General features: G+C 42.2%; 1 protein-coding gene across 10 annotated transcripts in view, besides 2 other annotated features; it reads left to right on the top strand.

Annotated features, from left to right (window-relative positions):
- The window catches only part of LIN54 (lin-54 DREAM MuvB core complex component), an 88,339-nt gene that overhangs the window by 11,351 nt on the left and 61,312 nt on the right, over nucleotides 1–15,676 (top strand).
- Nucleotides 11,576–11,685: an enhancer, noted in NCBI's record as "active region_21667". NCBI's record gives its function as "activates an Ori minimal core promoter by ATAC-STARR-seq in GM12878 lymphoblastoid cells {active_cell/tissue: GM12878}" and the evidence as "EXISTENCE:reporter gene assay evidence [ECO:0000049][PMID:35858748]".
- Nucleotides 11,736–11,785: an enhancer, noted in NCBI's record as "active region_21666". NCBI's record gives its function as "activates an Ori minimal core promoter by ATAC-STARR-seq in GM12878 lymphoblastoid cells {active_cell/tissue: GM12878}" and the evidence as "EXISTENCE:reporter gene assay evidence [ECO:0000049][PMID:35858748]".

Here is a 15,676-nt window from a genome sequence, read left to right as displayed (position 1 = left end):
TACAGGCGTGAGCCACTGCGCCCGGCTTCTTTTTCTTTTCTTTTTGACAGGATTTCACTCCTGCTCAGGCTGGAGTGCGGTGGTGTGATCATAGCTCACCGCATCCTTGACCTCCTGGGCTCAAGTGATCCTTCCACCTGAGCCTCCTGAGTAGCTGGGACTACAGGTGCACACCACCACACCTGGCTAACTTTTAAATTTTTTGTAGAGATGGGATCTCACTAGGTTGCCCAGGTTACTCAAACTGCGGGGCTCAAGTGATCCCCTCACCTTGGCCTCCCAAAGTGTTGGGATTACAGTCATGAGCCAGTGTGCCTTACCCAAGATGCATATCTTGAAACCCTTCACCTCCCACCATTTTTGTCATATCCACAATTTATTTCATGATTTTCTTCATTGGTTATGTCATAAATCCTATGAAATCATGCACAATGTCTAGACACAGTTTTCTCTGTAAGAATTTATTGCTTTTGGGCTGGGCTTGGTGGCTCATGCCTATAATCCCAGCACTTTGGGAGGCCAAGGTGGGCAGATCACCTGAGGTTAGGAGTTTGAGACCAGCCTGGCCAACATGGCAGAACCCCATCTCTCCTAAAAATACAAAAATTAGCTGGGCGTGGTGGCGCGTGCCTTTGATCCCAGCTATTTGGGAGGCTGAGGCAGGAGAATTGCTTGAACCTGGGAGGCAGAGGTTGCAGTGAGCTGAGATCAAGATTGCGCCACTGCACTTCACCCTGGGACTCTATCTCCAAAAAAAAAAAAAGAATTTATTGCTTTGGGCTTGATGGCTTTCATGGCTTTGTCTATAACAATGATGGCATCTTCAGTGGTGTAATCCTTTCTGATTTTCATGATGTTCTCTCAGCGGGGTTCTCTTCTATAGACTTGATGTTCATTCCATAGAGTACCATGTATAATGAGCCTTAAAGGGCTTTTAAAGGCCAAATTAAAGATGCTGTATTTGGGGGCAAGCAGACCATGTTGATGCCTTCAGTGTTGAAAACATGGGGTTCTGAGTGGCTGGGAGCATTGTCCAATATCAAAGGAATTTTAAAAGGCAGTTCCTTACTGTCAAGGTACTTCATGTCTTCAAGGACAAAACACTGATGGACCCAATCCAGAAAAAGAGTTCTCATTGTCCAGGCCTTCTTGTTATACATTTGGAAGAGTGGCAGCTGGTGTTTATCCTTTCCCTTCAAGGCTCAGGGTTTAGCAGCTTTATAGATAAGGGCAGTTCTGATCATAAACCCAACTACATTTGCACAAAACAATAGAGTTGGCCTATCCCTTCATGCCTTAAAAATTCTGGTGCTCCCTTTTGTGCCTCACTAATAAATGTCTTTTATGGCATTCTTTTCCAGAATAAGGCACTTTCATCTGCATTGAAAGCCTGTTTGGGCTGGGCATGGTGGCTCATACCTGTAATCCCAGCACTTTGGAGAGCTGAGGCAGGAGGATCACTTGAGCCCAGGAGTTCGAGACCAGCCTGGGCAACGTAATGAGACCCTATCTCTATAAAAATTTAAAAAATTTAGCCAGGTGTGATGGCATGCGCCTGTGGTCCCAGCTATTCAGGAGGCTAAGGTGTGAGGATCACTTGAGCCCAGGAGGTCGAGGCTGCAGTGAGCTCTGATTATGCTACTGCACTCCAGTCTGGGTGACAGAGTGAGACCCTGTCTCAAGAAACAACAAAACAAAAAACCTGTTTGGGCAGATATCCATTCTCCTCAATGATTTTCTTAATGGCACCTGGGAATTCTTGGTCACTGGAAGCTGCTTCTCCTGTTTTCTTGCCTTTTTTTTTTTTTTTTTTGAGACAGAGTCTCGCCCTGTCACCTAGGCTGGAGTGCAGTGGTGCGATCTCAGCTCACTGTAGCCTCTGCCTCCCGGTTTCAAGCTATTGTCCCACCTCTGCCTCCCAAGTAGCTGGGACCACAGGCGTGTACCACCGTGCACAGCTAATTTTTGTATTTTTTGGTAGAGACAGGGTTTCACCATATTGGCCAGGCTGGTCTTAAACTCCTGACCTCAAGTGATCTGCCTGCCTCAGCCTCCCAAAGTGCTGGGATTATAGGCATGAGCCACATCCCAGCACTTTGGCCACACCTGGCCAAAGGCTGCATTTTCAATATTAGACAAAAAAATAATTTGCTAAAAGTGCAAGGTTTTCGTATCTGCTGGTGTAACTGCAGTGATGGCTTAACAAATTTCTTTTTTTATAATGGTCTTTACGCTGGATTCATTTATCTTGAAATGTTGGGCAACTGCAGCTGTAGACCTCAATGTACAGTACTTATCAAGCTGTTAAACTTTTACTTGTAATGTCATACTTTTCTCTGCTTCTTGGGAGCACTTCTAGCATCACTAGTGGCACTTCATATGGGTCTCCTAGTGTTATTCAAGTTTTACAGTATTGCATTAAACATAATGAAAAATATGGGAGATCACCTTTTACTGCAATACACAATTTACTGGAAGGAGGAACTGCTCATGTGGAAACAGACAATTAGTGGCAACACTTGAGCTCACAGCAGTAGCAACAGGAGGTGGCTACAATATTATTACAATAGTATAGTATGTACTACAGTTACTTTTTTGTGGTTTTGATTTAATAGTGCATCTTTGTTTACATTTCTCTCCACTGCAAATGATATAATTTGTTTGTGTGGATAAGTTTTTATACATTGTAACTTTTTATAATTTATATATTTTATGGTAGTAAATTATAAAACACAATGTTTACATATGTTTCATACATTCATGACATATCAAACTTTTTCTTAAATTTTTTTGATATTTCTAGGTGGTGACATGGTTCATCAGTGAGTTTTTTCAAATTGCCACAAATTTCCAAAAAATATTTAATATATTTATGGAAAAAAAATGCGTGTAAGTGGACCCTGTTCAAAGATCAACTAAACACTCAGATTCTTTCTTTCTTTCTCTTTCTTTTTCTTTCTCTGTTTCTTTCTCTTCTTTCTCTCTTCTCTTTCTCTCTTTTCTTTCTCTCTTTTCTTTCCCTCCCTCTCTTCCTTCCTTTCTTTCTTTTCTTTCTCTGACGGAGTCTCGCACCGTCGCCCGAGTTGGAGCTGCTATCTCGGCTTACTGCAACCTCCACCTCCTGGGTTCAAGCAATTCTTCTGCCTCAGCCTCCTGAGTAGCCAGGACTACAGGCATGTAGCACCATGCCCGGCTAATTTTTGTAGTTTTAGTAGAGACGGGGTTTCACTATGTTGACCAGGCCGTTCTTGAACTCCTGACCTCGTGATCTGTCCGCCTCAGCCTCCCAAAGTGCTGGGATTACAGGCATGAGCCACTGCACCTGTCCCAGATTATTTATTTTTAAATATCTCAAAAATTACTTGCTCATCTGTAATGTGGTGGTATGTCAGTACTTTATGTACAAGAATGAAAACAGCTGTTCACCTAGATTTTTCTCCTTCTGTAACTAGAAAAGAACAGTGTTTCTGCAATAGTAGTGTATAAAATGTAAAAGCAGATATGTCATTTAGTATATATATATATACGTGTATATATATATATACGTGTGTGTATATATATATATTATTATATATATATTATTATTTTTTTTTTTTGAGATGGAGTTTCACTCTTCTTGCCCAGGCTGGAGTGCAGTGGTGCAATCTTGGTTCACTGCAACCTCTGCCTCCTGAGTTCAAGTGATTCTCCTGCCTCAGCCTCTCAAGTAGCTGGGATTATAGGAGCGCACCACCATGCCCGGCTAATTTTTTTGTATTTTTGCAGAGACAGGGTTTCACCATGTTGGCCAGGCTGGTCTCAAACTCCTGACCTCAGGTGATCCGCCCTCCTTGGCCTCCCAAAGTGCTGGGATTACATTATTTTTTATTTTGTATTGAATTCACTTCTTTTTTATTGTCACCATCCTAAATCATATCTAGCATTTATCTGTATCTTGAACTAATTACTACAATAGCCTTCCAACTGGTCTCCCTGCCTCCAAAATCCTCAGATGAGGTTAATCCTCCCAAAATATAACTGTGATCATGTTAGTCATCTATTTATTTCTAGGCTCTTTGAGGGCAAGGTCTTTGATTAATTTCCCATAATCCCCTCCTCAAAGTTAGGAAGCAAGAAGTATTTTATTAATTAAATGACTGATAAAAAGTATAAGCTAGTTAGAAACTAATAGAACCTTGTAGATTTAAAGATGGAATGTAATTGCAGAGGATATTGGTTAAAAGCTAAATTTGAGTATTAAAAACTTATTTGAAAGGAGTTTCTCAGTTTGTTAGTGTACCTTATGACAATATGGGTTTATTTTATTTAAAGTGTTGTGAAGTCCCAGAGCATTATATAAACCTATCCTACTCAAATTGACAAAAGTTATTTTCAAAGTCCAATGTAAATAATTCTACAGTTTAGGTGACACTCCTTCTCTATGATTACTTTATTCATTGTTCAGATTTATACACAGTAAATATTATTTGCCAGCTCTGTTATAGGCACAGGGGATGGGGGTTCAGTAGTGATGAAGACAAATATGTTCCTGTCTTTGTGTGGCTTTGCATTCTAAAGAAGTTGAGGAGGGACAATAAAAGTATAAACAAATAAACAAGATACTTCTGATTGTGATAGATGCTGTGATGGAAATGCCAGGGTAATGGGATAGAGTACCTGGGCCAGTGGAGATGAGGATGGCGGTCCTATTTTAGATACTTTTTTTTTTCCCTAATACATTAAGACAAATGTACAAATCAGACTTTTCTAAATGGGTGACTGTTTAACTCTCACCGGACTTAAACCATTTAACCATTCAACTGTGTTGGGAGAAAGCTCATTTTATTGGCTTCTAGAACATACTTTGCCTTTAGAACTTTTATTTTATGAACTAAAAATATTGGAAGAGGCTGGGTGTGGTGGCTCAAGCCTGTAATTCCAGCACTTTGGGAGGCTGAGATGGGTGGATCATGAGGTCAAGAGTTCGAGACCAGCCTGGCCAACATGGTGAAACCCCATCTCTACTAAAAATACAAAAATTAGCCAGGCATGGTAGCACATGCTCGTAGTCCCAGATACTTGGGAGGCTGAGACAGGAGAATCTCTTGAACCCGGGAGGCAGAGGTTGCAGTGAGCTGAGATCATGCCACTGCATTCCAGCCTGGGCGACAGAGTGAGACTCTGTCTCAAAAAATAAATAAATAAATATTGGAAGCATAGGGGAATGCATTGTATGTTCTGGATTCTTTCTCTACCATACCTTCACAGGTAACGCCTTCTACAGATGAGGTGAACTAAAGCTTCTCAGCTCTTTTAGCCTATGAAGAGCCTCTCTTTTCTTGGAGTGGCCTTCAACATAGTGACGATGAGGTTGCATGTGCTAGTACATGGCTTCCATTCCTAAGAGATAAAATAGCATGATGGATCATGTAACTGTGTGGACAAACCCTTTCCTGCCATGCCCAGTCCTTCTGAAACTTTCTCTTTTTTTTTGAGATGGAGTTTTGCTCATGATTTCGGCTCACCGCAACCTCCGCCTCCCGGGTTCAAGCAATTCTCCTGCCTCAGCCTCCCGAGTAGCTGGGATTACAGGCATGAGCCACCACGCCCAGCTAATTTTGTATTTTTAGTAGAGACGGGGTTTCTCCATGTTGCTCAGGCTGGTCTTGAACTCCTGACCTCAGGTGATCCACCCACCTTGGCCTCCCAAAGTGCTGGGATTACAGGTGTGAGCCACCGTGCCTGGTCCTGAAACTTTCTTTTAGCATAGGCCACCATGCCCTGCATGTGACCCTGATTGAAACAAACAGGGAGGCCAGGAGTAGAGGCTGACGCCTGTAATCCCAGCACTTTGGGAGACCGAGGCGGGTGGGTGGATCACGAGGTCAGGACATGTAGACCAGCCTGGCTAACATGGTAAAACCCTGCCTTTACTAAAAATACAAAAAATTAGCCGGGTGTGGTGGCACGCACCTGTAGTCCCAGCTACTTGGGAGGCAGAGGCAGGAGAATTGCTTGAACCCTGGAGGCAGAGGTTGCAGTGAACTGAGATTGTGCCACTACACTCCAGCCTGGGTGACAGAGCGAGACTCCATCCCAAAAAAAAAAAAAAAAAAAAAAAAGAGATAAGGATGTGTAATCATAAGACAGTCATCTATATTCTGTTCTGTAGTTTATGAGCTATCCTGGCTCTGGAATAGTCTCTGTCTATTACATAGACTCTGGCCAAACCAATCAGACCTTTTTTAAAAAAAAATTAAATTTAAATTAAAAATAAATTAAAATTAAATTAAATTAATTTTTTTCCCCCCAGAGACAGGATCTTACCCAGTCACCCAGGCCAGAGTGCAGTGGCACTATCATACCTCACTGCAGCTTCAAACTTCTGAGATTACACTTTCCTCCTGTCTCAGCCTCCCGAGTAGCTGGGACTTTAGACATGCCCCACCACGCCTGGCTAATTTTTAAAAATTATTTTTTTGTAGAGAAGAAGGTCTTACCATGTTGTGCCCAGGCTGGTCTCCAACTCCTGGACTTAAGCAGTCCTCTTGCCTTGGCCTCCCAGAGTGTTGGGATTACAGGTGTGAGCCACTGAACCTGGCCCAGACCTTTTCTTGTTAGAAGTTTGGACTTTGCTCCTAGTTCAAAGGGAGAGTCCCACTCCTATAATTCTCAGTCTCTTTTAACAGGACAGGTAAAAACGTATGTTCTTCTGACAACAGAACTTCAAAATATATGAAGCAAAAATGTGCAGAAGGGGAGACGTAAACAAATCCACCACCATATTTGGGGATTTTAACACCCTAAAAATTTATTAAGGATATCAAAGATCTGAATAACTCTATCAACCAGCTTTTGCTAACTGACATAAATAGAATACTACCCTCAGCAACTATTAAAAAAAATGTTCTTGGCTGGGCAAGGTGGCTCATGCCTGTAATCCCAGCACTTCGGGAGGCCAAGGAGGGCGGATTGCCTAAGGTCAGGAGTTCGAGACCAGTCTGGCCAACATGGTGAAACCCTGTCTCTACTAAAAATACAAAAAAATTAACTGGGCGTGGTGCCATGCACCTGTAATCCCAGCTACTTGGGAGGCTGAGGCAGGGGAATTGCTTGAACCGGGGAGGTGGAGGTTGCAGTGAGCCCAGATTGCGCCACTGCACTCCAGCATGGGTGACAGGGCAAGACTCTGTCTCAAAAAAAAAAAAATTCTTTTAAAATGCACAAGGAGGATTCACCAAGAGAGACCGTATACTGAGTCAAAAAATAAGTCTCTAATTTCAAATGATGAGAATGTTAAAGAGTATTATGTTCTCTGACAATACTATAATTAAATTAGTAATCAATAATAATAGCATAGCTAGAAAATCTCCAAGTGCTTGGGAATTAAATGGCACACTTCTTTATTATCCATGTGTCAGGTAAAATCACAAGCAATATTAGAAAACATTTGAAGTGAATGATAATAAAAACGTATTGAAATTAATGGAATACATCTAAAGAGCTTTGGGGAAAAGTTTTCATATTAAAGGCTTACTGTAAAAAAGAAGAAAGTTTTAAAATCAATCAATCATTTAAACCAGGAGTTGACAGACTTTTTGTGTAAAGCTCCAGGTAGCAAATATTGGAGGCTTTGTAAGTCATGTAAGTCTGTCATATTCCCCCTTGCCCCAACCATTTAAAAATGTAAATATCAGGCCAGGCGTAGTGGCTCATGCCTGTAATCCCAGCACTTTGGGATGCTGAGGCAGGTGGATCAGTTGAGATCAGAAGTTCAAGACCAGCCTGACCAACATGGTGCAACCCCATCTCTGCTAAAAATACAAAAGTAGCCGGCATGGTGGCATGCGCCTCTAATCCCAGCTACTTGGGAGGCTGAGGCAGGAGAGTTGCTTGAACCTGGGAAGCAGAGGTTGAAGTGAGCCAAGATCACACCACTGCACTCCAGCCTGGGTGACAGAGTGAGGCACTGTCTCAAAAACAAACAAAGAAACAAACAAAAAACCATTTTTAGGTAGGAAGCAATATATAAAGACCATGGGCATCATTTAGTATTTTGGTGAACCCTGATCTGTGTTTCCATCTTAAGATTCTAGCCGGGCGCGGTGGCTCACCGCTGTGATCCCAGCACTTTGGGAGGCCGAGGCAGGCGGATCACCTGAGGTCTGGAGTTTGAGACCAGCTTGACCAACATGGAGAAACCCTGTCTCTACTAAAAATACAAAAAATTAGCCAGGGGTGGTGGCGCATGCCTATAATCCCAGCTACTTGGGAGGCTGAGGCAGGAGAACCGCTTGAACCCAGGTGGCGGAGGTTGCAGTGAGCCAAGATTGCACCATTGCACTTCAGCCTGGGCAACAAGAGTGAAACTCCATCTCAAAAAAAAAAAAAAAGATTCTAGAAAAAGAAGAACAAATCAAACAGAAGCAAAGAGGTAAAGATAATAGTTAATTTAAATAAAAAATGGGCCAGGCACAGTGGTGCATGCTGAGAGGCCAAGCTGGGCAGATCACTTGAGCTCAGGAGTTTGAGACCAGCCTAGGCAACGTGGTAAAACCTCATTTCTTTTTTTTTTTTTTTTTCTGAGACAGAGTCTCGCTTTGTCACCCAGGCTGGAGTGCAGTGGCGTGATCTCAGCTCACTGCAAGCTCCGCCTCCTGGGTTCACGCCATTCTCCTGCCTCAGCCTCCCGAGTAGCTGGGACTACAGGCACCTGCTACCATGCCCGGCTAATTTTTTGTATTTTTAGTAGAGACGGGGTTTCACCGTGTTAACCAGGATGGTCTCAATCTCCTGACCTCGTGATCCACCCACCTTGGCCTCCCAAAGTGCTGGGATTACAGGCGTGAGCCACCACGCCTGGCCGGGGACACCTCATTTTTACAAAACAAAAGCCAGGCATCGTGGTGCATGCCTCTAGTCCCAGCTACTTGCGGGGCTGAGGCAGGAGGATTGCTTGAGCCTGGGAATTCGACGCTTCAGTGAGTCGTGTTCACGCCACTGTGTCGTGGTTTGCTTGCTACAGCCTCCAAGTCAAGGGAGTGTGAGCTAGGACTACAAGCAGGCCCTACCACACCCAGCTAATTTTTATCTTTATTTTGTTGAGATGGGGTCTTGATATGTTGTCCCGACTGGTCTCAAACCCATGGCCACAAGTGAGCCATCTTGACCTCTCAAAAGTTCTGAGATTACAGGTGTGAGCCACCATGCCCGGTCCAAAAATGGTTCTTTGTAAAGGTCAATAAAATGGATAATCTCTAGCTAATCAAGAATAAAAGGAGAGAAGACAGTTTACCACTACGAGGAATGAAGAGAGGACATTTCTACAGATCCTGCAGATATTAAAAGAATATTACATGTAACTTTGTGCTACTACATTTGGCAGCTTAGAGGAAATAGGCAAATTCCTTCAAAGACACAAACTATCAAATATCCCAGGTTACTCGGGAAGAAAGATAATCTGAATCGCCCTACATCTGCTAAAGGAAATGAATTTATAGTTAAAAACCTTCCCACAAGGAAGCTTTATATCTAGATGGCTTTACTGGTGAATTTTAGCAAATATTTAAGGAGGAAATAGAGACGATTCTGTGCAAACTTTTCCTGAAAAATAAGAACACACTCCAATTCATTTTATTAGGCTAGCATTATCTCCAGGCAGACACTATAAAATGAAAAGAAAACTACAGATCAATATCCCTCATTAACATAACAAAAATGTTTAACAAAATATTAGCAAAATATAATTTAGCAATATATACAAATTATAAGACATGATCAAGTGGGGTTCATATCAGGAATGCAAAATTAATTTAATCAAAAATTAATATAATTCACAGATTAAAAAAAGAAAAGCCATACGATTTTCTCACTAGTTGCAGAAAAAGCATATGATAGAATTAAACATCCTTTTATGATTTTTTAAAAAACCTCATCAAATTGGGAAAGACGTAAACTTTCTCAACCTGGTAAAGAAAATCTATGGAAACCTATAACTAACAGATAAGATTAGGAACAGGGCAAATATGTCTGCTGTCACCACTTTTAGTCAACATTTTCCTGGAGGTCCTAGCAAGTGTAGTAAGGGAAAAGAAATATAAAACATGTAGATTGGAAAGGAGGAAATACAGATGTTACAGACAACATGGACTGTATTTATAGAAAATCTTAAGTCATCTATACTGAAAAGCTATCAGAATTAATAAGTGAGTTTAGCTAGGTTGTAGGATACATGGACAATATACAAAAATCAGTTTTATTTGTACATACTCATAAACAATTGGAAAATGGAAAATGCCATTTATAACAGCATCAAAAAACATGAAATACTTAAGGATAAATTTAACAAAATATGTATAAGACCTATATACTTAAAGTGCACAACATTGCTAACATAAATAAGATATAGTTATTTGGGAGACAATTTTCCATGGGTCTTTTTTTTTTTTTTTTTTTTTCTTAAGAGACAGGCTGTCACTGTGTTGCCCAGGCTGGAGTACAGTGGTGCACTGCAGCCTTGAACTTCTGGCCTCAAGCGATCCTCCCATCTCATCCTCCTGAATAGCTGGGACTACAGGTGCACGCCATTGCACCTGACTTCTTCATGGGTCCTTGCATTTCTGTACCTCTTACCAGTGAGGCAGTGACAGCCCTTTTGTTTTAAATGATCTTTTCAAGGATATGTGTATAGCAAACAGCCTGGGATGATATAGCATCTCCCTCTGTAGCAAAGGGCAGATTTGCTTATTGTCCAGTATAATAAAGATAATATCTCCCTCTGGGCAAAGAGCAGGTTTGCTTTGGCCCGTTATAAAAGATTTGGGTTCCCTGGCTGGGCGCGGTGGCTCACGCCTGTAATCCTAGCACTTTGGGAGGCGGAGGCGGGCGGATCACGAGGTCAGGAGATCGAGACCATCCTGGCTAACATGGTGAAACCCTGTCTCTACTAAAAATACAAAAAATTAGCCGGGCGTGGTGGCGGGCGCCCGTAGTCCCAGCTACTCAGGAGGCTGAGGCAGGAGAATGGCATGAACCTGGGAGGCGGAGCTTGCAATGAGCCGAGATCGCGCCACTGCACTCCAACCTGGGCGACCGAGTGAGACTCTGTCTCAGAAAAAAAAAAAAAGATTTGTGTTACCTAAGCTCAGGGTTCCTAAGTTATGATACAAACCTACTGCATATGTGGCATCTACCTGGACCCCCCTGTGTCTTCCCTGCGGGACTTGGGGGATATGGGGGAACTGATACACACATAATGCTCATGTTCCTTGCTGTACTGTGAGTCAAAAGTCCTTTTGTCTCTGACACATGACTACTGTGTCTTCTGCCGGTATCCATGGAAGATTACTAGGCTACTTTGTTAGCTTTCAAAGAGAGTTGAAAGTCTCAGACCCTCACAGTTCTTGATAGTTTTGGCCATGAGGATGGGGTGCTGACAGGCATGGCATTCTGAAGGAGGAAGGATGAGGGCCTCTTGGGCTAGGTTAGGAGATATGAAAATTCTCTCTGGCATCTGTTAGTGAATGGTCTCACCCAGGTGGTGGGCAAGGGCAGTGGGGATGGGGAGAATGAAAGTCCTCCACTGTTCTACCTGTTAATGAATAATTTAGAGGCTTAGTTGAGAGGTAGGATTGAAACATACCACCTGAATGGTGCTTTGGTTGTTGTACACTCAACTTCATGGCCCCTGCTCTGCTGAAAGGCAATGTGGCTATAGCTGCTGAGTTAAGGAGCCCTCAAAGCAGAACATATGGTGTCCACAATAAGGATATAGAGCTTTAGGTGGATTCAAAACCTTAGAAGTTTGGTTGAGCTGCAGGGGTTAATGCTTGAAAATGAAAGTAAATGCAAGCTTTGCTTACTGCTCTAAAGCCACAGTCTCCCTCTGTGGCCTGACCTCTCCCTCCTCCTACTCTTTAATTTCAGGTGCTTTAAAGAGAAAGATTAATAGGGGTTGGGCTGATGTCTGTGTGTCCTTATGGGGACCAAAGGCCATACCCCTATGTCTAAATATGCTGGAAGAACTTCAGGGAGAGGAAGGAGTCAAACTTTTATGGTTCTGTTGGATATAGGAACTAAATCATCATTCGTTGGGGGTAGTATCCAGATTCAACTCTTGGGGTTTGGGGAAGAAAGCTAGTGTGACATTGTGAGTGGAGCCCTTTGTTGTATATTGTTGTTGTGATTGTCATTGCTGATGTATATTTGATGTTGATACTTTTACATTCTTGTGCTGTGAATTCCCATAAGTGCCAGAGGGGATTCTTTGATCAGGAAGAGCGACATAAAGAAGTGCTAGTACTTTGGTGTCCCAAAACCCTAGTGAGTCCTTTAAGATGTTATAAGTGACTGATAACTTCACAGTATACATAATGAATTCATCCAATTCAATAAGACTGTAAACCTGGTATTTTTTTTTTTTCTTGAGAGAGAGTCTGGCTCTGTTGCCCAGGCTGGAGTGCAGTGACGTGATCTTGGCTCACTGCAAGCTCCGCCTCCCGGGTTCACGCCATTTTCCTGCCTCAGCCTCCTGAGTAGCTGGGACTACAGGCACCCACCACCGCGCCTGGCTAATTTTTTGTATTTTTAATAGAGATGGGGTTTCACCATGTTAGACAGGATGGTCTCGATCTCCTGACCTTGTGGTCTGCCTGCTTCGGCCTCCCAAAGTGCTGGGATTACAGGCATAAGACACCGCGCCCGGCCAAACCCAGTATTTTTAAAAGAAAAAAAAATTTAACAGGAACTTGTCAAAGGAAGATATACAGACAGACAATATGCACATGAAAAGAGGCTAGAGTCATTAATCATCTGGGAATTGCAAATTAAAAACACAATGAGATATCACTTCACATAGGCTAGAATGGCTGGAGTTGAAAAGACCAACAGAAGACTGACAATACCAATTGTTGGTGAGGCTGTGCAGCAGCTGGAACTCTCATACATTGCTGGAGGGTGTATAAAATGGTACAGCTAAGTTGGGAAATAGTTTAGCAGTTTCATGCAAAATTAAAAATAAACTTACCATGTGATTCACCTAGAAGGAATTGCCAGATCTTCTAGATATTTACTCAAAAGAAATGAAAAACGTATTTTCTGAAAAAACTTGAACCTAAGTATTTATAGCAGTTTATAGCAGAATTATTCATCATAGTTCCAAACTGGAAACAGTCCAAATGTCCATTAACAGATGAATGCATATACAAATTGTGGTCAATTTGTACAATGGAATATTACTCAGCAGTAAAAAGGAATAGAACTACTAATAAGTAAAACGATAAAGATAAATCTCAAAAGCATGCTGAGAGAAAAAACTCATACCATATGATTGCTTTATGTCATAAGTACATAATATATTATTCAATTTAAATGAAGTTCTGGAATGAGCAAAAAGACAAATAATCTTTAGTGATAGAACAGACCCACTTCTCAAAAGAAACATTTATGTGGCCAAAAAAACATGAAAAAAAGCTCAACATCATTGATCATCAGAGAAATGTAAATGAAAATCACAATGAGATACCATCTCATGCCAGTCAGAGTGGCGATTATTAAAAAGTCAGGAAACAATAGATGCTGGCAAGGCTGTGGAGAAATAGGAATGCTTTTACATTGTTCATGACAATGTGAATTAGTTCAACCACGGTGGAAGACAGTATGGTGATTCCTCAAGGATATAGAACCAGAAATACCATTTGGCCCATCAGTCCCATTACTGGGTATGTACCCAAAGGAATATAAATCATTCTACTATAAAGACACATGCACACATATGTTTATTGCAGCACTATTTACAATAGCAAAGACATGGAACCAACCCAAATGCCCATCAGTGATAGACTGGATAAATAAAATTTGGCACTTATACACCATGGAATACTATGCAGCCATAAAAAGGAATGAGATCATGTCCTCTGCAGAGACATGGATGAAACTGGAAGCCATCATTCTCAGCAAACTAACACAGGAACAGAAAACCAAACACTGCATGTTCTCACTTATAAGTGGGAGTTGAAGAATTGAGAACACATGGACACAGAGAGGGGAACAACACACATTATGTTCTGGTGGGGGGTTGGGGTCAAGGGGAGGGAACTTAGAGGTGGGGTCAACAGGTGTAGCAAACCACCATGGCACACGTATACCTGTGTAACAAACCTGCATGTTCTGCACATGTATCCCGTTTGTTTTTTGTTTTTTGTTTTTTTCTTAGAAAAGTAGACTTATTTTTTCCCTGTTTTAAAACACCAATGGCAACATTTAAGGGAGTATAATTTTGGGATTAAGGTTATTAACTGTGGCATCTTTTTAAAAAAATTTTTGAGACAAAGTCTCACTCTGTTGCCCAGGCTGGAGTGCAGTGGCACGATCTTGGCTCACTGCAACCTCCGCCTCCCGGCTTCAAGCGATTATTGTGCTTCAGCCTTCTGAGTAGCTGGAATTACAAGCACCCACCACCACGCCTAGCTAATTTTTGTATTTTTAGTAGAGATGGGGTTTTGCCATGTTGGCCAGGCTGGTCTCGAACACCTGACCTCAGGTGATCTGCCCACCTCGGCCTCCCAAAGTGCTGGGATTACAGGTAAGAGCCAGTGTGCCCAGCCAAGATAATTAACTGTGGCATATTAAAAACCTGAGCTGGAGTCCTGGCTCTACCATTTACTAGCTATGTGACCTTAGGCAAATTAACCTTTCTAAATGGCCTCATCTATAAAACAGGGATAATGATGATTCCCATTTCTGAGTTGTTGTGAGGATAAATTAAATTACGTCATCAGTGTTGTAAGCACTCAATAATGATGGTTTATTTTGGTGGTAGTAGTATTTGCCAATGCTAATAGTTGTAATTTGCTACTTGTGTGTTAATTTTGGATGGGTGTTGTATCTTTTTTTTTTTTTTTTTTTTTTTTGAGATGGGGTCTCGCTCTGTCGCCCGGCTCAAGTGCAGTGGCACGATCTCGGCTCATTGCAACCTCTGCCTCCCAGGTTCAAGTGATTCTTCTGCCTCAGCCTCCTGAGTAGCTGGGACTATAGGTGCATGCCACCATGCCCAGCTAATTTTTGTATTTTTAGTTGAGACGGGGTTTCACCATGTTGGCCAGGATCGTCTCCATCTCTTGACCTTGTGATCTGCCTACCTCGTGATCTGCCAGAATGCCCAGCCGGGGTGGTGTATTTTTATATTTAAAAAAAGGGGGCCGGGCATGGTGGCTCACACCTATAATCCCAGCACTTTGGGAGGCCAGCGTGGGCAGATCACCTGAGGTTGGGAGTTTGAGACCAGCCTGACCAACATGGAGAAACCTTGTCTCTACTAAAAATACAAAAAATTAGCTGGGCGTGGTGGCACATGCCTGTAATCCCAGCTACTTGGGAGGCTGAGGCAGGAGAATCGCTTGAACCTGGGAGGTGGAGGTTGCGGTGAGCCGAGATTGCGCCACTGCACTCCAGCCTGGGTAACAAGAGCGAGACTCTGTCTCAAAAACGAAAAGGAAGAGAAGAAAGTTGCTGATTTGGTTCCTATGGATCTTTGATGTTCTCTGGGCAAATAACTCACTGCTATTTAGTCTGTCATAAACATGATGTGCTGTCTTTTATACATGAAGATAATAAAATTGATTCCTTTATTGGAAGTTCTACAGACCTTTGGCTAAAAGTACCACAGCTCAAAGTTTTTCGTAATCTGCTTTATGATTAT

This window comes from Homo sapiens, chromosome 4 (assembly GCF_000001405.40).
Source record: "Homo sapiens chromosome 4, GRCh38.p14 Primary Assembly".
Lineage (NCBI taxonomy): Eukaryota > Metazoa > Chordata > Mammalia > Primates > Hominidae > Homo > Homo sapiens.
The sequence above is the reverse complement of the archived record's forward strand: the minus strand, read 5'-3'. Positions and strand labels throughout refer to the sequence as shown.